Genomic DNA, 27778 nt, shown 5'->3' on the forward strand with positions numbered 1-27778 from the left:
AAAAAACCACTCTTATCAGGCCGTCTATTCCAAGGGCTCAGAGGTTATCTCCCAGAGGCCAATCAAGAACCTGTCCTCCTAAACACAGGCCTTTCTTTGAAATGTGCAGGGTTTGAGCAAGCAGGGCCCACCAACTTAACCCTTTACTGCACAGTGACATTGAATATATTTGTATCTTTTGCAATTCTGAAGTCATGTGAGTTTATCTTATGTGAGCATTACAGCAAAACTGAGGCAACACAGCTACTTATAATAGAGATCTTATTTGGTACACGTGCCTACGTACTTTTAAGCATGTGTAGCATCATTAAAACATAACAATAGAAGCATGCATGCTGAGACAGAGCAGAACTAACACCTGAGATTCCATTTCTTATTGAATCATGGTCTGCTTATGAAAGCTGAACCTGTCAACGAATGTGCAAGCTAGCTCACTGCTCATTCTGTCAGCGTGGTTATTACCATGGGGGCAATAGTGCTACATGCAATGATGGGTTGCTGTGAAAAGCAATCATCTCCAGCCACCCCAGAGCTGCACTGTAATGTGAAACTGAGGGCTTTGGAGTTCTGAGGCCAAGGGAGCTCTGTGGCTGTGCAGTTGCCTGAGGAATGGCTGCACAAAGAAGCACGGTTAAGAGATAAGGATGTCGGCCGGGTGCAGTGGCTCACGCCTGTAATCCCAGCACTTTGGGAGGCCAAGGCAGGCAGATTACTTGAGGTCAGGAGTATGAGACCAGCCTGGCCAACATAGTGAAACCCCGTCTCTACTAAAGATGCAAAAATCAGCCAGCGTGGTGGCCCATGCCTATAATCCCAGCTACTCAGGAGGCTGAGGCAGGAGAATCGCTTCAACCAGGAAGGCGGAGGTTGTAGTGAGCCGAGATTGCACCACTGTACTCCAGCCTGGGTGACAGAGAGAGACTCTGTCTCAGGAAAAAAAAAAAAAAAAAAAGAGATGAGGATGTCAACAGCCAGGCTGAGCCACGTGACAGCTCCAGACCTTGGAAGATTCCAAGAGACATGTGGAGCTGGGTTCCTGGGGGCTCTGGCGGTGAGAAGGAAGGAAAAGGTCAGACTCCTCCCATATAGGCTCCCCCTGGGTATGATTAGAGGGTGTGATTTTATGTGTCAATTTGGCTGGGCCACCATGGCAAGCCAAACATTATTCTAAATATTTTTGTGAGGATGTTTTTGGATGAAATTAATAATTAAGTCAGTGAGACTTTATGTAAATCAGATTGCCCTACATAACACGAGTGGGCCCCTCCTAATCAGTGGAAGGCCTAAATAGAACAAAAAATGACCTCTCCCAAGCAAAAAGGAACTCTGCCTGCAGACAGCCTTCTGACTTAAACATCCAAGCACCATTGGCTCTTCCCTGGATCTCCAGCTGCTGGCCCACCCCGAAGACTTCAGACTTGCCAGCCTCCATAATTCCTTAAAATATATTTCTTACTTAATTTTAAGGAATTAGGTATAATTATTAGGAATATGTATACACACAGAGAGAAGTATATTTAAGGAATTATATTTTAAGGAATATATATTTTAAGGAATCAATAAGATATGTGTGTACACTGCATATACTCACTTATAAGTGGGAGCTGAACAATGAGAACACATGGACACAAGAGGGGAAAAACACACACTGGGGCCTGTCGGGGGGTGGGTCAGGGGAGGGAGGGTATTAGGATAAATAGCTAACACATGTTCAGCTTAATACCTAGGTGATGGGTTGATAGGTGCAGCAAACCACCATGGCACACATTTACCTATGTAACAAACCTGTGTAATGTTACCTACGTAACAAACATGCAATGATGGGTTGCCGTGAAAAGCAATCATCTCCAGCCGCCCCAGAGCTGCACTGTAATGTGAAACTGAGGGTTTTGGAGTTCTGAGGCCAAGGGAGCTCTGTGGCTGTGCAGTTGCCTGAGGAATGGCTGCACAAAGAAGCACGGTTAAGAGATAAGGATGTCGGTACACATCCTGCACATGTACATCCTGCACATGTACCCTGGTACTTAAAATTTAAATTAAAAAAAAGATATGTGTGTATATATTTGTGTGCATATACATATATATACACACACATATATATATACACATACATATATATATGTATATGTGTACACATACATATATATATGTATATGTGTACACATATATCTTATTGATTCTGTTTCTCTGGAGAACCCTGACCAGGGGTTCCAGGACTTTACATGTCCTGTTCCATTTTAATTCCCACAACTGGAGAGATAGGTTATTATACCCATTTTACCAATGAGGAAACTGAGGCACAGAGAAGTAATTTGTCCAAGGTCAGCGAACATAGGAGTTTGGAGCAAGGACAATAGAGTCAGACAGGCTGGACTAGAATACCAGCTCTTCCAGTTACTAGCTGTGAGACCTGGGGCAAGTTACTGAACCTTTTTATGCCTCAGTTCCCTCATCGGTAAAATGGGGATAATAATGTTATCTATCTTATAGCATTACTATGAGGATTAAAGATGTTTAAATATGTAAAGCACTTGGACCAATACAGTGTTAGGTATGTAGAAAACGTTTTGCAGCCGGCCCTTCTCATCCACAACCAACAATGGATCAAAAATATTTGGGAAAAAAATAACAATAAAACAATTTAAAAATTCAAATAAAAAATGCAGGCCAGGCACAGTGGCTCGTCTGTAATTCCAGCACTTTGAAGGCTGAGGCGGGTGGATCACTTGAGCCCAGGAGTTTGAGACCAGCCCGGTCAACATGGCAAAACTCCGTCTGTACAAAAAATGCAGTAATTAGCCAGGTGTGGTGGTGCACGGCTGTAGTCCCAACTACTCGGGAGGCTGAGGTGAGAGGATGGCTTGAGCCCGAGAGGCAGAGGTTAGTTACAGTGAGCCAAGGTTGCGCCATGCACTCCAGCCTGGGTGACAGAATGAGACCCTGTCTCATAAAAAACAAACAAACAAACAAACAAAAAAAAAAAACTGGAGTATAACAACTATTGTCATAGCATTTCCACTGTATTAAATTATTATAAGTAGTCTAGAGATTATTTAAAGCATATGGAGGATATGCATAGGTCATAGGAGAAAACTAAGCCATTTTACATCAGTTACTTCAGCATCCTACATTTTGGTATTCTTGTAGGTTTTGGAGAAAAGGCCCTAAGGATACCAGGAATGACTGTGTAAGTGTTTGATAAATAATTAAAATAAACAAGGACCAGGCGCAGTGGCTCACACCTGTAATCCCAACACTTTGGGAGGCCAAGGCAGGTGGATTGCTTAAGCCCAGGAGTTTAAGACCATCCTGGGCAACATGGCAAAACCCCATCTCTACAAAAAATACAAAAATTAGCAGAGTTTGGTGGTGCACGCCTGTGGTCCCAGCTACTTAGAAGGCTGAGGTGAGAGGATTTCTCGAGCCCAGGAGGCAGAGGTTGCAGTGAACTAAGATTGCGCCACTGCACTCCAGCCTGGGCAACAGAGCGAGACACTTCTCAAAAAATAATAATAAAATAAAATGAACAAGATTATACCAATTGTAATTGGTGGATCCAGAATTCAAACTTAATAATGCTGACAATGTTATGTGATCTCTGGGGTTTTCACACTACATCAAACAATATGGAAAATCCACTTATTACCCTCCCTTTTTTTAAAGGCAGACTCTTGCTCTGTCACCAAGTGGGGCCAGGTATAGTGACTCCCTGCAGCCCCAAACTCCTGGGCTCAAGTAATTCTCTTACCTCAGCCTCCCAAGTGGCTGTGACTACAGGCACCCACCACTACGCCTGGTTAATGTTTGTATTTTTTGTAGAGACACGGTCTTGCTATGTTGCCCAAGCCGGTCTTGAATTCCCGGCCTCAAGCAGCCCTCAGGCCTCAGCCTCCCCAAAGTGTTGAGATTACAGGCCTGAGCCACCACACCTGGTCCCACTTCCCCATTAAAAATAAAAATCAACTGAAAAGTACACTACGCCCCACCTCTAACCCCACAGGGAAGGCCCCTGAATCCAGATTTGTACTGTGGTGACCTTCCTCAATCACCCCTCCCATTCCCACCACAGTAATTGGACCAGGGTGCACACCTGATCCAAGTTGAGCAAATAATAATCCCTCTCCTGGAAATTTAGATTTAAGGTACAGAGATGATTGTCTGTCTTTGCTGTTGCTTAAACTGAGGACAAGAGCTCTAGGGAGTATGTAGACAAAACCTACAACCAGACCAGAGCTGAGAGAATCCAACTATAGGAGACTCATGAATGCCAGGTGGGAGTGGGAGATGTGGAGGGGCCTCAGAGGGCCAATTTCCTCCCTCACAGTTCTGCCTATGGCTGTGCTTTTGGCCGTTCTTGCATTACTATAAATACCTCCGCCGGCCAGCTGGGTGGCTCAAGCCTGTAATCCCAGCACTTTAGGAGGCTGAGGCGGGTGGATCACCTGAGGTCAGGAGTTTGAGACTAGCCTGGCCAACATAGTGAAACCCCATCTCTACTGAAAAAATACAAAAATTAGCCAGATGTGGTGGTGGGCGCCTGTAATCCCGGCTACTCCGGAGGCTGAGGCAGGAGAATTGCTTGAACCTTGGAGGTGGAGGTTACAGTGAGCCGAGATCATGCCATTGCACTCCAACCTGGGTGACAAGAGCAAAATTCCATCTAAAAAAAAAAAAAAACCTGACACTGGGTAATTTATAAAGAAAAGAGGTTTGATTGGCTCACAGTTCTGCAGGCTATATAAAAAGCACGGTGCCAACAGCTGCTTCTGGGGGGGGCCTCAGGAAGCTTGCAATCACGGCAGAAAGCGAAAGGGAAGCAGACATCTCACATGGCAAGAGCAGGAGCATGAGAGTGAGGGAGATGCCACACATTTTCAAGCAACCAGATCTCGCATGACTCGCTCATTGCCAAGGGTTTCATGCTAATCCATTCATGAGGGATCCGCCCCCATGATCCAACCGCTCCCACCAAGCCCTACCTCCAATACTGGGGATTACATTTCAACATGAGATTTGGAGGGGACAAACACCCAAACCACATCAGGCTGACCCTGCCTTGGCAGGGCAGAGATCAATCAATGACAAGAGATGTCTCTTTGGTTTAGCACATACGTAGGGTCTCTTTGACACCTTCTTGAGCTGATGCTCTCACTGGGGAAAGACATTTAAGGACCAAAGACACAAGGTTGTAGGTGTAATTAAACTTCCATAAGGATCTGTGAATAGGAAAGTTGATTCAGCCAACAAATGTCCCCTGACCATGGGAAGGAGACAAGCCACAGCTGTTTTTACCAAGTGGAGCTCATTAAATTAATTACCTTACCACCAGACAGCTCATTCAACACCCTGGAGGAGTTTTAATAAAATCAGGGATGTCTGAGCAGAAAGAGGCCATCTAGTGAATCCAAACGGTCACCCTAGAGAGAGGGTCGCAGGCCCAGGGAAGCTAGGTGACAGCTGCAAGTTCACACGGCAAGCGGGTGGCTCCTGGCTCATAATCTAGTGCTCTTCCTTCTACAGAATGAAACTTTATCTTGGGATTTGTGCATTCACTGGGGTTGGCTATTCAAAAATTCCAACATTCTTTTCTCTTGTTTCTCTTCCTCCCTAGAGGCTGAAAAAGTTGCTTCCCTTGCCTTCCTGAGAGCAACTCACAGCCAGTGACCCAGTTCAACAAGATATAAAAGGATGTTTCCTGAGAAGCTTCTCAATACTCAAGTTCAATGGGCCACATGAGGAGCAAACCTTTACCCTCTGCTTTTTGCTTTTAAATGTTGATGCAATGCTGGAACCTCAGCAGCCCCCTTGAGATCATGAGGCAATAGGACAAAGGACAAAAAGCCAAACAGACTGAGGGAGTGTAAAAGAGGAACAGAAAGAGCCCACAATGACAAAGTTAAGCTGCTGAATCAGCCCTAGAGCTGCCTACATTTCAGTTAAGAAAGCAATAAATATCCTTGTGATTAGGCCAATTCATCTTTGGTCACAAGTTTTCCTTTGCTTACAGCTGAAGGCAACCCAGTGATTACAGGGTGAATTTGAAGGCACCTGGTTTCTCCACTATCTTGTTCTTGCTACCCCTTTGCAATCTGGGATCCCTGCAGCTTGGTAGACTATATAAACTTGTCCTGTTCTCTAACACCTACAGTTGGTGAAATTTGTTACACGCCTGGGACCACCTGGCTGCTCTTAGGGGCATATTTTGCCCAGTGTTATGTCTCTTGCTGCAAAAAAGCTGACTTTTTAAAGAGCCAAATGAGCAAAGCTTTCAAATCACAGTGAATGAGTGGGCTCTTACAGACACTATACAGCCACAAGTTGCCTCTCACCTCCTCCTGCCACCCAGAGACATTTTCTTGATTTATTGCATTTTAACCCATATCTCTCTAGCCATCCATCTCTCCAGCCTATATTTCGAGATGTTTACTGGATACTTAGCCCCTCTCAGGAACAACCCATTCCCCATTTTTCAAGTCCTCCTGACTTTAACATCTTCCTGTGTCTCCTACCTTTGCATTTGCTGGGGGAAGATAGATATTTATACAGAGAAACTCCCATCTGCAAGCCCCATTTCCTCATAAATTTTAATCCTATTTCTCCTTCAGCATGAGGGGTGAGGAGTGGCTCTGGCAAAAGAGGAGAACGTGAGGACATGTTGTAGGCTCAGCCCAGAGGCCCACAAAACCACACACTCCCTGTCTCCTTCCCCTTCTCTGAGCCATACCCTCTCAGGGCAGTCATGGCTTAGAACTAACAACTGCACAAGATGAAGAATCTGAGACCTTTCTCTACCTGCTTCTCTCACTGAAATTGATTTGCCCTACCCTTTTGAAATCCTGGTTGCTAGAAGTTCCTGGTCCTCACTGTCTAATCCAGTAACCTGTGGCCACATGTGGCCACTGAGCACTTGAAATGTGATTAATCCAAACTGAGATGTGCTATTTAAGGAGAAAAAACACTTTTCCTCTACTGTGTTCTTGATTCTCTTGCTGGGGCCCTAGATACTAAATTGACAAAAGATAGATTAACAAGAGAAAAACGAACAGTTATTAATATGTCCAGCATGCATACGCTCAGGAAAAACTAAGCGATGACTAACTTAAAAGGGTAGTTAGTACTTGAGGCTTATAGAACATTTTAACAAAGAACAATAAAATTGTAGAAAAGAGACAAAGGAAAAAGGATTTAGGCTTTAGCAGTGGCAAGCTGTGAGAAGGTAAATATATGACAGGTGGAACTAATGGAAGAGAAAAGTTATTTTAAGGCCAGGTGCAGTGTTTCATGCCTTTAGTCCAGCATTTTGAGAGGCGAAGGTGGGTGGATCACTTGAGTCCAGGAGTTCAAGATCAGCCTGGGCAACATAGCGAAACCCTGTCTCTACTAAAAACACAAACATTAGCCAAATGTGGTGGCATACACCTGTAGTCCCAGCTACTTGAGAGGCTGAGACAGGAGGATCACTTGAGCCCAGGAGGCAGAGGTTGCAGTGACCCAAGATTGCGGCACTCCAGCCTGGGCAACAGAGCAAGACTCCGTCTCAGAAAAAAGAAAAAAGGTGCGTTTAGTAAGGTTGTTATGCAGAGTCCTCTTGTTGCTATTTCCGAGCTGATAAGAATCTAAAGGTGTCCCTGTCTGTTTTTAGGAAAATGGGGGAGAGGGCAGGGAGTTGTTTTCAATCCTAGCATCTGCTGTTTCTCAATTGTCTTCAGCTAAAAATAATCCTTATGGCAAAGTGGCATATTTTAGGGTGATGTATTCTGATCCCCTTCAGCTGCAAGTATAAAATAGACACCAAATTTCAAAGACTTAGCTCACCCCCCAAAAATAAAATATCTCATTCATAATTTTTTATATTGATTACATGTTCAAATGATAATATTTTTGATATATTAAATAAAATATATTAGAACTAACTTCCCCTGTCTCTTTTTAATGTGGCAGGCTAATACACAAATTTTAAATCGCCCATGTGGCACCTTTACAATGCTATTGGACAGCATAGTTCTAGAATGCTATGAGCTGACTACAGCCATAATCCTTTTTCAATAATATTCCACTTCAGTGGGGTCTTTATCTTCTGAAACCAAAGGAGGGGCACTCATAGCTGAGCTCCAGGCCCCATGTATCCTTTGTGGGGCAGGCCTCCTTCAAATCAATCACAAAAGTGTTGGTCTCTTGTCATAAAGATTGTCTACAAACTCAAATAGCCCCAAACAACAACAAAAAAGTGGTTTTTTGTTTTGTTTTGTTTTGAGACAGAGTCTCTCTCTGTTGCCCAAGCTGGAGTGCAATGGTGCGATCTCTGCTCACTACAACCTCTGCCTCCCAAGCTCAAGCAATTCTCTTGCCTCAGTCTCCCGACTAGCTGAGATTACAGGCGCCCACCACCATGTCCAGGTAATTCTTATATTTTTAGTAGAGACGGGGTTTCACCATGTTGGCCAAGGTGGTTTCTAACTCCTGACCTCAAATGATCCACCCGCCTCAGCCTCCCAAATTGCTGGGATTACAGGCATGAGCCACAGTGCTTGGCCAAAAGTGATGTTTATTAGACAGAATAGTATCTCTCGAAATTGGAGGGCAAGAGGCCAAACTGGGTCTCATAAGGAACTACCCTTAAGCCCCTGGGAAGCCAAGGCCAAGGTTCTTTTCTCCACCTCCCTGTGCAAAGCGTTTTATTTTCTCATCTCTTGGCCCAAACACTTTAATTTCACTTCAAGCCCTGAACCTATATGTCCTTCTGCTTCACCTAAGTTTAGCAGATCAATCTCTGAAGTCACCAGGACGGAGTGGAGACTCAAGATGACCTGCTTACCAGATTACAGGTAATTTATTTTATCTCTAGTGGTGCCAGACGTTGCATTTTACATTTGAGTCCCATGACGCTAGGCTGTGATTTATTTATTAGACTTGACAATGACATAAGTCCGCCTTGTGCATGCAGAGGAAATTTTAGTCTGATTCTGAAAATGGAAGGAGCTGCTGCCAAGATGTTCACTGATTTAATGTTGGGGGAGGGGGTAAGCCTTTCACTCTCATGAAACTTGCCTTTTGGCTTGTAAAATTAGGTGAAAAGAGAACACTCTTATGATAACTCATAATTATGAAGATTTGCATATACGGAGGATGGTGGAAATCAAACTTCATTCCTTAAATACCTAGTGAGACTTGGTCAGACAGCCAGAGCTAAACCTCTTTCCTTTTCTTCTTCTTCTTTTTTTTTTTTTTTTTTTTTTGGGATGGAGTCTCTCTCTGTCACCCAGGCTGGAGTGCAATGGCATGATCTTGGCTCACTGCAACCTCTGCCTCCCAAGCTCAAGCAATCTCCTGCCTCAGCCTCCAGAGTAGCTGGGATTACAGGTGTGTGCCACCATGCCCAGCTAATTTTTTAGTAGAGACAGGGCTTCACAATGTTGGCCAGGCTGGTCTCAAACTCCTGACCTCAAGTGATCCTCCCGCCTCGGCCTCCCAAAGTGCTGAGATTACAGGTGTGAGCCACCGCGGCCAGCTCAGGGCTAGACCTCTTATGAGAGTGGCAGATGTCTCCCCAAATGGAGTGATCAAAACTCTGCAGAGAAGACCCCCAGACCCTCTTTCCCACTCTAATCTGTTCCCAGATGCCAACCTCTAGCCCTTAACAGCCACACCATTGAGATCACATGCAACCACACTACCCAGAAGAAACAACGCATTTCACTAGCCTGAGTTCCTTCATCAGCTCAGCTAGATTTGGAACAGGTTGCAGAGAAAGGGATAGAGATCAGGCTGGTTTTGATGAAATGGGCAGAAAAAGCATGAGCCTGCAACAGAATCTCTTTTCAAGAAACAGAAACTAAAAAGCAAGTGGAAGAATCAGTGACCACTTGGTAAAGGAGCTAGAAGTTAAACTGGACAGAGAATAAAGAAGTGAATTTCCACAGGGAGAGTTGGGGAAAGGCCCTCTGGGATAACTTGGGTTTTTTTGTTGTTTTTGTTTTTGTTTTCCTAGATAGAGAATCTGAAATCCCTCTCAGGAGAGGGAAAGCCAGATCAGGCCAGGAGCAAGCCCCACTCTGGGGCAGAAACTTGCAGGAGGCTGAGAATAAGACCTGGTGAAGATGGAGGAGGAGGTGTCTGTACCTGTCCACAGCTTCATAACTTGTGCAAACACTGCAAGCATTTAGTCTTTCAGGTGTGACCTTCCTGGGTTGGCCTATTCACTAACCAGAAGCCCTTTAGTGGATCTTTCCTTAAAGGTGAAATCCGTGTTGATAATTTCTCCTTTTAAAAACTATATTGCTTGACATTTTGGGCTGGATGATTAAACAAACAAACAAAAACCTACATTGCCATGTTTCCCAGACCTGATAACCTGAGAGGTAAGCTAGCCTTGTGGTACTGAGACCAATGTGGACAGCATGTCTTTGCCTCTTCTCTAGACTGTGTTAAAAAAAAATTAACTGGGAGGCCATTAGGCTTACACTGTTCCGGCACCTTGGGTTCCTACATAAACGAACAAAGGCCAGTGTCAGCAATAAAATGAAACTTAAGCTTGATCAGTCAGAAACTGACAACTAACCTCTAACTGGGGGACTTGCCACCAGATCATACCCAAACAAGGCAAATACCTGCCTGCAGCCCATCAAATAATTCTTTGCCTCTGCTTTCAGCCTATAAAAGCCCTCTGCTCATGCTGCTAAAGCAGAGCCCTCTGAACCTCTCTTGGTTCTGAGTGCTGTCCAATTCATGAATCATCTTTCGCTCAAATAAATTCTGCTAAATTTAATTTGTCCAAAGTTTTTCTTTGAACTCCTGATGTTACAAGACTTTCAGCCCTAGCCAGTTTCTTCTCCAATAATTTCTAAAGTCACCAAGAGGCACCTTACCTGTGTACCAAAGAAGCCATCTTGGCCACCCCATGTCCCCCTTTCAGCTCAGGCTCAGAGAGGGCATGCTTGCAGTGGAGGCCACGGGGACCTGATGTTCACATGGCAGCTGCTGTGACTGCAGGAGCTGCAGGGGAGTAACACAGAAGCCCTACTCAGAGCCCCTTCCTGTGGCTGCCTGAGGCTCTAAGTTCTACAAAGACTGCCATTTTCCCTTTTCCTGCCTCCTCCTACTGCTTGAACGCTCCCTTTCCTTAAATAAAGGCAGAGGGAGGGGCTTGGTCTCCTCAGGCAAATAGGCTCCCAGCAGGTTCCCGCCACCAGGCCCCAAGCAAGCCTAGACCTGCCTCCCTCTCCTGGGGCTCAGGCCAGGGTCCCTGCTGTGCAAGTGACAAACAGGTCACTTCTTGGCTTTTCTCTTCTAGAAAGAAACTCGACTTCAAAGAGGAAGGGTGGGTGAGCCTGCTAGGGTTATAGGATTAGGCTCTGTGAAGCTGCTGTTAAAGTTTTATGAGCCCCAGCCTAGCTGTGAGAGTGATTATCCTGCAGCTCCCCAGCTGTTCTCCAGCCCCAACACGCAGCTCTGCTTCAGAAGGCAATGCAAGAATAAGGCAACGCAGGAATCCGGCCTCAATGGCCAGAGCAGATCTGAACAGATTGCTGATAACACTCTGGTTGCTTGCCAGCAAAACCTCCAAGTTGCTTTGTGTAATTTTTTCCCTCTACTCTTTTCACACCTCTCTGTGGTGGCCCCTGGCGAAAATCAACCATGTCAGGGTCTTTTCAAGGCTTGTTCTCTCACCAGGGTCAGCCCAGCCTGGAGGAGGCATTTCATTTGCACAGAACAGCAGGATGACAGATCTGCCATTAGTATTCATGATCTGGAATCCCAGGAATGGACTCTCTGGACATGTGGGAGTAGGTTGGGCTGACAGATCTAAATCAAGCTCTGAATTCTCTACTCTCAGAGCTCCGGCCCATCTTCTGTCAAATGGGTCACAGATCCACTGCAAATACTGGCCAGTGATCAGATGCTGCTGACTTGCTCAACAGGGTCAGGCTTTCACCGTCAGAATCGGTGGCAGGTTACTAACAAGAGGAAGGACCAAGGAGGGTTACCATGGGGATGTTTGCATGTGCCGAGATAGAAATCAGAATCCAGGACCCTGCAGTGATTTCCATCTGAGAGAATTTGCTATAAGGTAACTATTAAATAACTGTTCCCCTGAGTTCCCTAAAGTCATCCCGAGGAGGTGCCATGTTGCCAAGGGCCAGGCTGGAAACCTCCCAAGCCCCACCCCTTGGCCCAAAGGTAAGAGAGATGGCAAGAAAGAGTTGGGAGACAGAAATGGTCTACTGTCCCCTCATCTCACCCTCCCCACGGTTACCACCCGCCCACCAATGCAGGGCAGCCTTTGACCTTCCCTGGAAGGTCTGATGTCATCTTTAATGGTCTGTTTCCATGACTTGCAGCACTACAGGTTTGGGAACCAAACAAATGACAGGTTAATAACAATCAGACTGGGATTTGGCGATGAACCCTCACTTGTCAGAGGCCTCAGTGTTAATAACCGTACTTCCAGTTCAGGGACGCTCTGCTAATAAGGTGAAGAGTGTGGCTTGTTGTGTGTGAAGATTACAAAGCAGAAAGGTTTCTCACATGATCTATAAATTCGCCCATGTAAACTACCTAAGACAAAGGCTAAATACGTTCACTTTGGGGGCTGAGATAATGCACAAAGGAAAACTGTGTTCTTCTAAGCTAAAACTAACTGCAGAAGTCCAGAGAAGGTGAGTGAGGTGTCCCACCAGGAAGGTGGGGGGCGGGGAAAGGATTCTCACTGCAGCCCCGAGGGCTGACAATGGTGCTGAAATCCAGGCTGCCACTGTCACTCCTCACATCATGACATCCCACTGAGAAACACCGCAGGACAAAGCAGCCCAGAGAGAAGTCACTCTAGATTTCCACCAGGAACACACTGCCCGACTGTGCATCACCTGTCCAGAGCTTCCTTGATCCTGTAACCCCTCCCCCTGGCTCCCTTCTTCTGGAGTGTGGGAACAGGGGGGAAGCAGAGAAACAATGACAGCTGTTAAAGGAACCACTAGCCACTTACCTTGGTGCTGCTGTTGTTCCTAACCAGCCTTGGGGAGGAGAGGAGCAAGTGCAAACTATGAAGAGAAGTTAGGCAATTTTAATCAGGGCTTTGAAATGCAAACCCCAACACACTGAGCAGAGGGGGTAATGGTTGGAAATCATAGGAGGAGGTGTATTATTTTTGGATACATCATAAAGCTAAGAAGATATTGAAAAATACCCACTGAACTAGTGTCAAGGGGAGGGTCGGGGAGAGGGCCAAGTCTCAGGACAGGACAGAAAATGGCCTCTACTCTGCTGAGAGGGAAGTGAGAGCAGAACTGGAGACCCTGGGACTGTCTGCCTGCAAGGCAGATACCCAGAGGGTCCCTGGCCAGCACTCATGAAGTCCACAGTGGACTGAAGGGAAGCAGGGGCTTGGTCTTCAGGTTGGGGGACACAGAATGGGAAGCTCAGGGTGACACCTGGTTGGGGCCAAGGAAAGGAGAGTGGCCTCTGGGGAAGCAGACACAAGGCATGGAAGGCTGCTATGGTCTGAATGTTGACGTCCTATATATGGTGAAATTCTAACCCCCAAGGTGATGGTGTTAGAAATGAGGTCTATGGGAGACGACTACATCATGGAGGCAGAGCCCTCATAAATGAGATTAGTGCCCTTATTAGAGAGGCCTGAGAGAGACCCCTGGCTCCTTCCACCATGTGAGGACACACTGAGAAGGCACTGTTTATCAGCCAGAAAGCAAGCCCTCACCAGACACCAAATCTGCCTTGATCTTGGACTTCCCAGCAAGCTGCCCAGTCTATGGAATTTTGTTATAGCAGCCCAGATGGACTAAGACAAAGGTTTGGAGTACATGTGTGTAGTAGCAAGATCACCAGTCCAGGAGACGGGAGATCCAGGTCTTAGTATCTGAGGTCCAGTCCTTCATCTCTCTGAGCCTTTGCCTGCCCACACATGTCAGTGGGGAGTGGGAACCCTGCCTCATCTGCATCTCATGATTGAGCTGATCCATTGGGATGGCAGGTCTAGAAGTGCAACATATTACAAAGTCCTAATGCATGTGCAGTCTGCAGGATTACTTCAAAAGGAGGAGTTAAGGTTCACACACACCTGGATGGCTGGCTGAAACTTACCCACTATGACTACTAGTATGCTTTGAGCATCACCAGTCTGACAGGGGCAAAGTTCCAAGCCAATTCTTCACTTAGGGGGGACTCTGATGCCTTCCATCTGCCACTTCTTGGAAGCCATGAACCCCCAAATTGGATCAAATGCTGGGAGATGGAATTACCAGGAAGTGCAAGGACTAATAGGTTGGGGGAGGCAGGGAGAGGGGAAGGAGTTGAGGAGAATGCAGCCAGCAGCTGCTGCAAAGGCTGGAGGAGAGGATAATTAGATCAGGCTCCAGAGGAGCCAGCGGGAGGAGCAACCTGTCTTGTGTCTGCTGACCACGTGGTCCAGGCTGGAAGGGGCAGCGGCTGGTCCCCTCAGGCCGGCAACACAGACCAGACTTGCTTCTGAACCAAGTTAATCTCATCTCATCATTTCCCACCTGCCCAAATGGTCTACCCAGCTGAATTCTGAACTGCCAGCCTAATACGTAGGTTCTACATGATATAACTTGAGGACTAGAAAATGATCCCAAACATAAAAAACATCCCGCCCACCCACAAGGTGGGGAAGGAGTTTCCACTGTTAGGACTCTTTCCCCTGGGAGATGCTTGTCACCTGTCAAAAGGTGCCCTTGGAAACCAGAGAAGATGCCCCCAAGAATAATGGAGACAGAGCAAGGAATGCAGCTTACCCTGAGAGTAAAGGGGCAGGGAGGGAGACAATGGGGGAGGGAGGCAATGGGGGAGGATAAAAAAGGAAAAGCAGAAAAGGGGAGAAGGAGTGGGGACACCAAAGAGGTGGAGACTTATGTCTGGAACAGTGACATCATGCTCTCCACTTACCTCATCTGGCACAAGCTACCCAGGGGCTTGTTTTCCTATGAATTAGAATGTTACTCAATTTGATTTCTGTGTACTTACCCCCATGAGCTATTTGTCCTATTGAGTGTCTCTAACAGCACGCTCCCCACCAGCTTCCTCAATGACAATCCTGTTCCAGGAGCCAAGAAAATATATATATATATATATATATATATATCTGGACACATGCAGAATGCAAACACCAAGTGGGACAACTGGAGATTCTGGGACAGGGAAAGATACCGAACCCTTGGGGTTATGCACCTGCAGGGAGAAGTCTGTGCTAGCCACCTCTCACTTCAGCACTCTCCAGAAGCATGGGCTCACCTCTTCCCTGTACCATTAGTTCAGAAACATCCACTCTTGTCTCCAACACCCTGACATGCAGACTTGGTCCATGGAGCCAAACTTCCATCAGAATCAGGGAAGAAACTATAAGAGCAGGAACAGACTGAGTTAGGAGAAAAGGAGGCTGGATTTATAAAGATTGCATTCCGTGGCAGCCATGGTTTGAATCTGATCCTTGGGCCTCGTTGTTCCAGCTGACATGGACAATAAGAAATGAGGACATCTGGGCTGGGCGCAGTGGCTCACGCCTGTAATCCCAGCACTTTTAGAGGCCGAGGCGGCAGATCATTTGAGGTCAGGAGTTCGAGACCAGCCTGGCCAATGTGGTGAAACCCCGTCTCTACTAAAAATACAAAAATTAGCCGGGTGTGGTGGCGCACGCCTGTAATCCCAGCTACTTGGGAGGCTGAGGCAGGAGAATTGCTTGAACCTGGGAGCTGGAGGTTGCAATGAGCTGAGATCACACCACTGCACTCCAGCCTGGGAGACAGAGTGAGACTCTGTCTCAAAAAAAAAGAAATGAGGATATCTGGAGGCCAGGAGACAGCTGGCAATTCAGTAAGTGTCAGTCTGAAACTGTTACCGTCACTCTAAACTCAAGTCAGGCCACTCTATTCCTGTGCCATCGTTTTCTGGCCTACAAAACCAGGACAATTAAAAATCACTTCAGTTATTTCCTCAATGAACAAATATGGAGTGAGGGTCTACTGTCCCCCAGGGCCTGGCTGGGGAAACAGAGATAAATATCACAGCCATAGAGCAACTAAAGACAACTGCACCTTCTTTCCTGTTGAGGACTTCAGAGCCTGCACTGTGGGCAGCACTGTGACCTCAACACAGCCTCATGAGGGAGGCAGGTTCCAGAAGAGAACTCTGAGGGCAGGAGTTTCGGTGCTGTCTCTCTACAACTACACAGCTGGTCCATGGCTGGGCTGGGCTGCAACCCCAGGGTTGGAGGCCTTGGCTCAGAGGCTTGGGGGAAACCTATGGCAGGGAGTGGGGAAGGCAGGGAGAGCCTTTTCTGCTGCAGTGCTTCTGCTTTGTCTCTCTTCCCCTTCAAACTCCCTTTTTTCTTTCTCAGCTGATCAGAGCCTAAGGAGGCACCAATTGGCTAGTGGGACTCCAAGTGATGATGAAAACCCTGAACTCATGGATAAAGGGACAAAGGAAACTTGCTCCCTGGAACCAAGGACTTGTGATGGGGAGAGTGGCCCACTATTTCAGGACACTCCTGGTAACTCCTGTAGATGGTCCTCCCCTAACAGACAAAGACAGGCAAAGCCGCAATGGCTGCTTCCACCTCATGAGTGTTAGCACAAATTCATTCATTCATTCATTCATCTGTTTATTGAGCCCTGCTATGTCAGGCACCCTGGGGGTATAGTGACGGAGAAAGCAAATAAGGTTCCTACCTGCAAGAAGCTTATGGTCTAGTGCAGTGCACCCCAACTTTTTTCACCTTGAGGTACACCTAGAAAATGATTAAATGTGTATCAACTATCAGAGTGACTGATGAGATCACTCTGGCTGGTGGGGACCAGCCCAGATCCTCCAGCTGACCCAGGACCCCACAACCCCTCCAGTCCCAAGGGCTGAGAGGATCAATATCATAGTAAGCCATGCACCCTGGCTAAGGACCTCCAGCTACATGGTTATAGGTGGGTTTCTGATTTGTAGCTACCGGGGCAGTCAAGATTAATGGAAAACAAGGGTACTATAACCTGGGAGTGTTAGACCTCAGAAGAATGAAACCATGGTAGTTTCAAACCATGGCTGCAAATTCTTAACATCCCTCCCATGAAGAGATGGTGTCCATATCCCCACCCCTCCCATGAAGAGATGGTGTCCAAGTCCCCTCTGCTAAGTGGGCTTGTGACTGCTTTGACCAATAGAGTACAGCAGAAGTGTGATGCTGTGTGATTTCCAAGGCTGGGTCATAAAAAAACAGGCAGTTTCCACTTTGCTGACTGGAACCTGTGCTTTTGGAGAACTGAGCCTCCACGTAAGAGGTTCCACTGTCCTAAGATACCATCACGGAGAGACTATGCATACATGCTCTGGTTGACAATTCCAGCTAAGCCCACCCTTCAGACCCACACCAGATATGTAGGCGAAGAAGCTGCCTATGACTCCAGCCCTTTTTGTTCAAGTTTTCCCAGACATCATGGAGCAGACAAAGCCATTTCCACAAAACCCTATCTGAACTCCTGACCCACAGAATCCATGGCATAATAACATGGCTATTGTTTTATACCACTGGGCATTGGGACAGTTGTGCAGCAGTAGAAGCACCAGGACAAAATCAAAGCCCCAACTAAGGATGCTGGGCTGACCCCAGTTCACAAGGATGACCCTCCACTGCATGTTACCACAAGAGGTGAGGGTAGTGGGAGAAAAAAGACAGCTCACAGGAAAGCAGCTTCCTCAACCTCAGTCTTCCTGGCAGTGGCAAAGTTAGCATACCCTCAGCAGGTCAATCTTCTAGTGGTCTACAGTCTGCTCCTGCAGCCTTTGCATGGACTTTGTAAGCACCCAACTCCCTGTATTAAATCCTTCTCTGCTGACAAGAACCAGAGTAGCTTCTCATACCTGCAACTGAACCTACCTAATGCAGAGCCCAAATACCCTGCTCACACTCCCAGAGCCAACTTGGTTTCTCTCCATTTCAGAGATTGGCTCTTAGCCTTTTCACTGATTATCTGTGAAATTTACCAGAATCCTTCTAGTAAGTTTCCTTTGCTTTGCCAAAATTGATTTCTGTTGTTTGCAACCAAAGAACTCCAATTGATACAAAATTTAAGCTGCTAATTAAGTGAATATCTTATCTAGTAGTCTCCCCTTATTCACAGTTTCACTTTTGGCGGTTTCAGTTATCCAGGATCAACCATGGTCTGAAAACATTAAATGGGAAACTTCAGAAATAAACAATTCATAAGTTTCAAAAGACTTTCCTTATAGTATATTATAATTGTTCTATTTTATTATTAGTTATGGTTGTTAATCTCTTACAGTGCCTAATTAATATATTAAACCTTATCATCCATATATATGTGTGTAGAAAAAACATAGAATATATAGGGTTCAGTATTATCCAAGGTTTCAGGCTCCCATGAAACATCTTGGAACGTATCTGCCTTGGATAAGGGGGGGACTACTGTATTTAACCCCCTTTTTAAGAACCCACTTTTCAGATGAACAGTGTAGAAAAGAATAATTTTCACATGATTTGAAGATACAACCGTAAATGTTTTTAGTCTTTAGAGATAGCTTTTTTTGTGCATGAAAAATAATCTTCAGAATTTACTTTGGTATTTAAAGCCAATTATTACAGAAACAAATTCAAAGGCTTAGTTTTCCCTATGTTTTTAAGTTCAATTTAGACATAGTATTCAATTTATAAATCTTTCAAATTTCACAATAATTTTAAGAAGATTTGTATAACTTAATTCCTTGGAATATTTTATCTGTATTTATAAACCCAACATAATAAATTCCCTTTTTAAAATAATTCAGTTGTCTAGCTAACCAACTTTTCCAAGTACTAAAGTGATTCTTACAAATCTCCTAAATCAAGTTTATAAATACAATGATGAAGTTCTTTTAAATGTGCCTATGCTATTTATAGACTAAGATTCTCTTGCAGTTTTCAGCTTAGAATTTAAATTGATTGCTCGGGACTGTAATTAGCCAAATTCTCCAAATACTTTTGGACACCTGATACAGTTTGGCTGTGTCCCCACCCAAATCTCATCTTGAATTCCCACATGTTGTGGGAGGGACCCAGTGGGAGGTAATTAAATCATGGGGACAAGTCTTTCTTGTGCTGTTCTCATTATAGTGAATAAGATGCATGAGATCTGATGGTTTTAAAAAGAGGAGTTTCCCTGCACAAGCTCATCCTTTCTTTGCCTGCCACCATCCACATAAGATGTGATTTGCTCCTCCTTGCCTTCTGCCATGACTCTGAGGCTTCCCCAGCCACGTGGAACTGTAAGTCCATTAAACCTCTTTCTGTAAATTACCTAGTCTCAGGTATGTCTTTAACAGCAGCATGAAAATGGACTAATAACACCACTTGGGTCCTACCTCACACCCTCACAGCCTACCTTTTGCTTTAATCACTCCTGTAGTAACCACAGGTGAGGCCAGACAGCACCTCTCAGCTTCAGTCTCTTGCTTTGTACCTGTGTAATTCTCAGACATTCAGACGCTATGGCAAAGGGCTCCTTGGGAACTGCTCTACATTCATAAACACACACACACACACACACACACACACACACACACACACAGAGCGAGCGAGAGAGAGAGAGAGAGAGAGAGAGAGAGAGAGAAGGGAGGGAGAGGGAGAGGGGGAGAGAGAGAGAGAGAGAGAGACTGACCCCAGAAGTGTACGGGATATCCAGTGAGAGAATGAAGCCAGTGGATAAAGGATCTCCTCTACCATTTTTCCGGCAGACAAACCTGAGGCTTATTCCACATGGTTCCTCAGAAGTGCCCAGAAGGATGGAGCATCAGTTGCCCGTAGCAATGACCAAGTCAATTATGCACCCAGTTTTATTGTTTTACTCCTGTTCCCTATATCCCTTATCAGATAAACTACCTGCCCCTGAGCTTCCTCTCAGCTCTGCTTTCCAAGGTGAATGCTGGCTAAGACAAATGCTAATGCACACAAATTATTCCCAGATTTTACACAATAGTCATACTAGGGGTTTGATTTGCTTCATAATCTCTGTTCTCAGTTCTAAATCTCCCCAGGGTTAAAAGATTCACCAGAGCTGCCATAACAAAGTACCACACCTGGGTGGCTTAAAACAAGTGAAACGTATTATCTCAGAGTTCTAGGGGCTGAAAGTCTTAAATCAAGGTGTCAGCAGAGCCACGCTCCCTTGAGACTCTGGGTAGAATGCTTCCTTGCCCCGCCCTGGCTCTGGTGGTGGCCCACAATCCTTAGCGTCCCTTGGCTTGCAGCTGCATCACTCCAGTCTCTGCCTCCATCTTCACATGGCTTTCTCCCTGTGTGCGTCTTCACATCAACTTCCTTCTGTGTATGCTGGCATCCAGATTTCCCATTTTTATAAGGATACACAAGTACTGGATCGGGGCCCACCCGAATGACTTCATCTTAACTTGGTTCTCTGCAAGACTTTATTTCCAAATAAGGCTACATTCTGCAGTACTGGGGATGAGGACATCAGTGTATCTCTTTTCAGGGGGACACATAACGCCACAGTGCCCACTAAGGAAACAATTAAGTAATTCTAAGCAATTAGAGGGATTTCAAGCAAATTTTCAGGTTTTCTGTCAGCTGGGCCATTTTGCAAATTGGCTAGAGATTTTGACAGGATTTGAGATCAGAAACTGTGAAAGGCCAGACACCATGGCTCACACCTACAATCCCAGTATCTTGGGAGGCTGAAGAGGGAGGATAGGATTACTTGAGCCCAAGAGTTGGAGACCAGCCTGGGTAAGATGGTAAGAGCCTGTCTCTACAAAATAAAATAAATAAATAAAACTAGCTGGGCGCAGTAGCATGCCCTTGTAGTCTCAGCTACTCAGGAGGCTGAGGTGGAAGGATTTCTTGAGCACAGGAGATCAAGGAGTGCAGTGAGCTATGATTGTGCCACTGCACTTCAGCCTCGGGAACAAAGCAAGACTCCATCTCTTAAAAAAAAAAAAAGTTGAAAGAAGGAAAAGAAAAGAAAAACTGTAACCGAGCCATCTTCCACAGTTACCACACCAATGGGAATCTAAGTTCATGCCTTCCAATGGAATTGTGGAAACAGAGATTACAAACTATAAAATCATGAATTAGCTTTGGCTAGAAAATGTGGAGGAAAGCAGAGTTTCCAAGGCCCGGTTAGCAACTGCCCAGGAACAACCCTAAAAACATGAGAGACTGTTGATACAGGTGCTTTGAAAAAATAAGTCCTGATGTAGCCATTAAATCTTATTAGGTAGAAAAGGAAAATAAAGTGCATATTTACACAACTGTGAACAAAAAACGTAAGCTAATTCTATCACCAGTCTGTATCTTGTCCTCAGAGTTGAAATCTCGTCTAGTTTGCTAGAAAGTCCAATGATCTGTGCTGTAATATTGAAAGTTTTATTTTTGTAGTTCCAAAGATTTTGGCTTATAATCTTAAGACTAATGTGTTTGTTTTATGTAAATACATTACAGAGGATGTTTATTGTAGAAAACAGCATTTGTTCACTTGAAGTTCTAAGCTACATTTGTCATAGGAAGTTGATTTTTCCCAACAATCTTGGTGACAAATTAATTCACTGTGACATCACTTGTCTGGCTCAAATTAACTCCTATAAAATGAACAAACTAGCTTTCTTAACATTAGGAACATAGATAAAGGAACATTTCTTCTTGCAACATGCATTTATAAGTAAAGTAGTGCTAACAGATGAAGCTTAAGTACATTTGAGAGATGATCCTGAATTAAGATCATTTGATAGATGATGAAGTTGCTTGAATTCAAGTTACATATTACCTCATTCTTAAGTCTAATGATTCTGTATCTAACCCAAAACCAGGATGGCAGACATTTGATGGGATTTGACTATCTATTTACTTGATGCTACTATGAATTCATTTCATGTACTCCCTACAATCTATGAATCCATTTAAATCCATCAAAATGACATTTGCTTGGATTCTGCAGCTCTTCCTGGCTTTGTCTGGCTTAAAAGTCAGAACTTCCAAGGTCTTATGCATGACAGGAGAGAGGTCAGCTTCATAAAGGCATATGGGTTGGACAACCACTTTCACTGTTGCCATAAGAAATTTCCAGGTGAAAAATAAGGAATGAACAGAGAAGGCTGATCCTTCTAATGCATAGTTAAAACCCTTTAAAGAAAATCAGTGGATCTTTGGCAAACATTATACATTCTAGCCTTTTTCATGTTAAGCGGAAAACATAAATTATATCCAAATAAGTGATAATAAATGTATCTGAAAGCTCCATGCTTCCAGAACACTTTGCACCAAAGGCTCCTCTCTGAGGTCTTGGGAAGCAATGAGGCAAAGAAGCTGCATGTTAGATTCCGACTGAGTGGTGCAAATGACTGCTAAATTAGTGTGAATTATCTGGGCTGTTCCATGTGGCCATCCAACCAAAGTACTGCCTGTACTGCAGAACTGCCAGAGAAGGCCTCCTGGCCTCTATTTTATTCTTCAACAACAAAATACAAAGTACCTCTTAGTTTCTGACATGAATCAAAACTAGTCAAAAGATCAAGCACGGGGGCCAGGCACAGTGGCTCATGCCTGTAATCCCAGCACTTTAGGAGGCCACGGTGGGCTGATCACTTGGGCTCAGGAGTTCAAGACCAGCCTGGAAAACATGGTGAGAGCCCATCTCTACAAAAAATACAAAAATCATCCAGGTGTGGTGGCACACAACTGTAGTCCCAACTACTTGGGAGGTTGAGATGGCAGAATCGCTTGAGCCCAGGAGGCAGAGGTTGCAGTGAGCCAAGATGGCACCACTGCGCTCTAGTGTGGGTGACAGGGTGAGACCCTGTCTTAAAAAAAAAAAAAAAATCAAGCAGGGACAAAAAGTGGGCACTTGCAAGACACAGGAAAACCGCAAAGAAATGCTAGGGCTAGACGGAGGAGGGGGGAACTGAGCTATAAACTGGTCAATGAAGATGAATAATCTATCTTGATTTCTTTGAAACAAGGCAGGGTCTGAACGAACAAATGGATACAGATGAAAGCACAGGGAGGTGAAGGGGAGCTGTTGCTTCTCCCTGGGGTCTTTCTGTTCCCCTCAGCTCAGTCATTTGCCTCATCTTTTCCCATCCTGCCTTGCCAGTGCATGCAGCCCACAGCCCCTCCCTGCAAGGGCTATCTGGAGGCAAAGAGGGTGGATTGGGAGTTCTCTGTGGCTTGGGAGTGGGAACCATATTCTTGGGTCTGGCACAGACTATCTACCAATCTAGTTGGTTCTGGAAGCTTCTCAGAGCACCTAGGCTTCATCTCCTGAACCAACCAGAGGTCCTCCAGGACTTTCAAGTCAGGTAGCACTCAACTTACCTCCCAATAGGGGAGTACAGCTCTCAGGCTACCCAAGGTACCCTACTCCCAACCCTTCCCACTTCTGGTGGCAGCTCTGGACCCAACAGAACTGCCCCCTCCCTATCACATCCTAATTCTGCTTCTTCTGGCACATCTAAAATTTCCTTCTGCTCTCTCTTGGATCTGCTACTGATAGCCAGACATGGGCTCAAGGCTGCTATGATCTGAATGTTTTATCCCCTCTAACTCATATGTTGAAATCTAATCCCCAAGGGGATATTAAAAGGATCAGCCTTTGGGAGGTGATTATGTCATGAGAGCTCTGTCCTCATGAGTGGGATTAATGCCCTGAATAAAAGAAGTCCGAGGGAGGGGTATGTGTGTGTGTGTGTTTACCCCTTCTACCATGTCTACCATGTGAGGACACAGCAGAAGGTGCCATCTATGAAGAACAAGACCCTCAAAAGACACTGAATCTGCTTGCACCTTGATCTTGGACTTCTTAGACTCCAGAACTCTAAGCAATCAATTCCTGTTGTTTATAAATTACTCAGTCTAAGGTATTTTGTTAGAGAAGCCTAAATGAACTTAGAGAAAGGCTAACACATTATCTACTTTCAGGACTCATTCAAGTTACTTGCTAGACGTTGTAGGAGTTACAATCTTTCACGCATTCTTTTTTTTTTTTTTTTTTAATGGAGTCTCGCTCTGTCGCCCAGGCTAGAGTACAATGGCATGATCTTGGCTCACTGCAACCTCCATCTCCCGGGTTTAAGCAATTCTCCTGCCTCAGCCACCCCAGTAGCTGGGACTACAGGCACATACCACCACTCCCGGCTAATTTTTGTAATTTTAATAGAGATGGGGTTTAACCATGTTGGCCAGGCTGGTCTCAAACTCCCGACCTCAAGTGATCTGCCCGCCTTGGCCTCCCAAAGCACTGGGATTATAGGTGTCAGCCACTGCACCCGACCTTTTCATGCATTCTTTACAAGAGTTTCACTGTCACAGCCACTGTTCTGCTATCTAGGTTAACTCACACATCCCTGTGACCCACAAATGTCAGAATAGGGCACTATTAAATGACATTAAGTTCACCTCTCAGTTTCAGTTCTGCCCAACAAATGTAATCCCTAAGGAATCTCATTCTGTTCAAGGGACATCTCAACTTTCTGAAATAGGAGAATAGGTTTCCATCCCCTTCACCTTGGGAAATACTATAAAAAGTCATATCCCTGTGAATCACAACTTAACCACACACTCAGGCAGGAGTGTGAAGGAGGTCTTCCTGTCTTTTTCGTATCTGAGCCCCTGGATCCCTTCTTGTGACCGGCACTTAGTGAATGGGAAAATAACCGTAACAGCAACACCACCACTAACCACTATTCAACCTCTAGGACAACTATGAAGGGGGTAGATGTGCACAAGGGAGCCTAGGTGACAACGATGGGCCACTTGACTAACACAGTCACAGCATCCTATAATAAAAATCACTATAAATTCACAGAATTACAAGTAATAATAATTATAGCTAGCATATACTGTCCATCTACTAATACTGCTCTAGTGATTACTCTTGGTTTAACAACTTTAGACATCATCTACTGACTTCTTATCACAGACATAAAAATTGAGGTCTTATCCCACATCCCTTTCTGCTCCTTACATCCTAATGAAGTTATGACTTTGAATTAAGTTTATATTTAGAATCTGGGCCGGGCGTGGTGGCTCACACCTGTAATCCCAGCACTTTGGGAGGCCAAGAAAGATGGATCACCTGAGGTCAGGAGCTCAAGGGCAGCCTGGTCAACATGGCGAAACCCTGTCTCTACTAAAAATACAAAAATTAGCCGCATGTGGTGGCACATGCCTGTAGTCCCAGCTACTCGGAAGGATGAGGCAGGAGAATCACTTGAATCTGGGAGGCAGAGGTTGCTGTGAGCCAAGATCATGCCACTGCACTCTAGCCTGGGCCACAGAGTGAGACTCCATTAAAAAAAAAAAAAAAAAAAAAAAGACAACACATTAGAATCTATTACTCTATGTTTATTATTGAGCTAAGTAATGTTCTCTGATTACATTTCCTTTCTTATAGTTTGTTTTTCCTGGAGTTAATAATTGTCTTTTTTTATTCCAATCATTTTCTTAAACTTATGGTTTTAAGACTTCCCACAACCTCCAACAGCTCTGTAAAATATCTTTCAATCAAAACTTACATACTGTCAACCTGTCAAGTCTTCTGTCAGTTCCATTTTCCCCTTGAGTTTCCCCCACAGAGCTCCCTATTCTCTGGTCCACTCAGAACCAACTTTCCTGACTCCCTAGACCTACTTTACTCTTGTCACTCACACCTTCACCCTTCTTCTCTCTCTGGAGCTAGATCCCAGGTTTACTGGATCACATCTGCTTTGTTGTACTTGCTAATTTTGATGAACTATCCTCCAAGAGCCTCCTGAGAGAGTGTGTGGAGGTATATCAGGATAGAATGGTTTATGCTTCAGTAGCACACAACCTCAAGAATTTAGCAACTTTAATACTAAAGGTTTATTTCTCACTCCATGACATAATCACTGGGGATTACCAGCTGGAAGCAATGTTCCACATCTCCTCACTACAGAATCTAAGCTACCCAAAGAGTCATTATCACAAGCATTGTAGCTCACTGAGACAGACTAAAGGAAACAGCATAGTGAAGCTTCCACCTGGAGGTATCCCACATCATTTCTGCTTATATTTGATATGGCCACACCAAATCAAAGAGGAAAAAGGAGAATGGAAAATACTTGTTGAATAGCACTAATGACTATTGCAGGAGATTAATTTTTAAAAATATTTTTCATGGCCAGGCACAGTGGCTCATGCCTGTAATCCCAGCACTTTGGGAGACAGACGTGGGCAGACCACTTGAGGTCAGGAGTTCGAGACCAGCCTGGCCAACATGGTGAAACCCCATCTCTACTAAAAATAGAAAAATAAGCCAGGCATGGTGACACACGCCTGTAATCCCAGCTACTTGGGAGGCTGAGGCACAAGAATCGCTTGAACCCAGGAAGTGGAGGTTGCAGTGAGCTGAGATTGCACCACTGGGTGACAGAGCGAGATTCCGTCTCAAAAAAAAAAAATGTCATATCTAAAATGTCTTGATTGTGTTTCATACTCAATTAATAATGTGTGGGAATAGAATTCAAGATAAGAGACAATTTTCTCCCAGAATTTTGAAAAGAAAGTGTCCCATGTCCCTTAGCTTCCAATGTTGCTGTTGGGAAGCCTCATCATGCCAGGCTCTTTCCTGAGGCTTTGTATCTGACCTCTTCTGCCTGTTGTTGTTGTTCCCATATTTTTTCTCTTTCTCTCTCTGATAGATTTTAGGATTACATTTTTATTTCTGCTGTTATGAAATTTCACAATGACATGCCTTGATATGGATTTTTTTCCCATTTATTGTGCTAGGTATTTTTAATCTGACACTTATGTACTTCCTTTCTGGTCAATATTCATGTACTAGTTGATAAGTTCCTCCTTAGTGTTTTCTCTTTTGTCTCTCTCTAGAGTGGCGATTAGATGTCAGGCTCCTGGAATAGTAATTTGTTTTATCTCTACTTTCCTATTGTTCTTTTTGGGGTTATTCCTTCTAGGACATTTTTCAAGCACTTTACATATGCATATAGTTTAATTTTTATTTCCATGAGCTTTTCCTTAACTGATTCTTCCTACCATGTTGCATTCCACACCCCTCTCTTTTCATTCTGGCTCCTCACCCTCTGCTGTGTCTTGGTATATGACCCTAAGACAATGTCATGGCTCTCTATAGTGTCCCTAGGGATTTGGGTACCTGGATGTTGGTTAAACTCCCCATTCAACCCTGCCCCAGCCCCAGCTTTTCCTGGTTAGGATGAAGTTCCAGCCTAACTTCTCACGTCTCCTATTTTTCAACCTTTTAAGTTGTTCCACATTCAAGAAAATTGGAGTCAGAGGCACACTCAGCCAAAATTCACAATCACTGTTAAGGAGAACAGACAGAGGCAAAACAAAAAACAAAAACAAACCAAAGAAAAAAAAACTCCTAATTCTTTAAAATGCACATTTCTTTTTTATTGCCTGTCTTGAAAAAATTTAATGTTCCTGACTGTAAATTGAATCATACAAGTATTTATTTAATATCCAGCCCAGTTTTGTGTACTGAGGATACAGCAATAAAAAAAATACACAAAGTCCCTGCTCTTCATTCTAATGAGGAGAGACAGATAATAAGCAAAATGTAATGTGCAGGAGGTGACAAATATTAGACAAAAATAAAGAAGACTGTCGGGCCAGCAGTGCTGGCAACTGGAAATGGGAAATGCTGCATTTTTTAAGACAGTCTTTCTGATCCCTTCTCTGCTTAATTGTCAGCTGTATGTTGAGTCCCTCCCTACATTAGTTTGTTCTCACACTGATACAAAGAACTACTTTAGATTGGGT

At 44.7% G+C, this 27778-nt stretch overlaps 1 long non-coding RNA gene across 1 annotated transcript; it reads right to left on the minus strand.

The window, feature by feature from the left end:
* Nucleotides 1-10872: 10872 nt before the first annotated feature.
* On the minus strand, nucleotides 10873-15365 carry LOC105372116 (uncharacterized). The gene is made up of 4 exons (XR_935467.1): nucleotides 15202-15365; nucleotides 14998-15067; nucleotides 12983-13037; nucleotides 10873-10992 (listed from the first exon to the last, which is right to left on the minus strand). It is a non-coding gene; the product is annotated as an uncharacterized LOC105372116 (long non-coding RNA).
* Nucleotides 15366-27778: the final 12413 nt, after the last annotated feature.

The sequence above is a fragment of the Homo sapiens genome, chromosome 18 (genome assembly GCF_000001405.40).
Source record: "Homo sapiens chromosome 18, GRCh38.p14 Primary Assembly".
Taxonomy (NCBI): domain Eukaryota; kingdom Metazoa; phylum Chordata; class Mammalia; order Primates; family Hominidae; genus Homo; species Homo sapiens.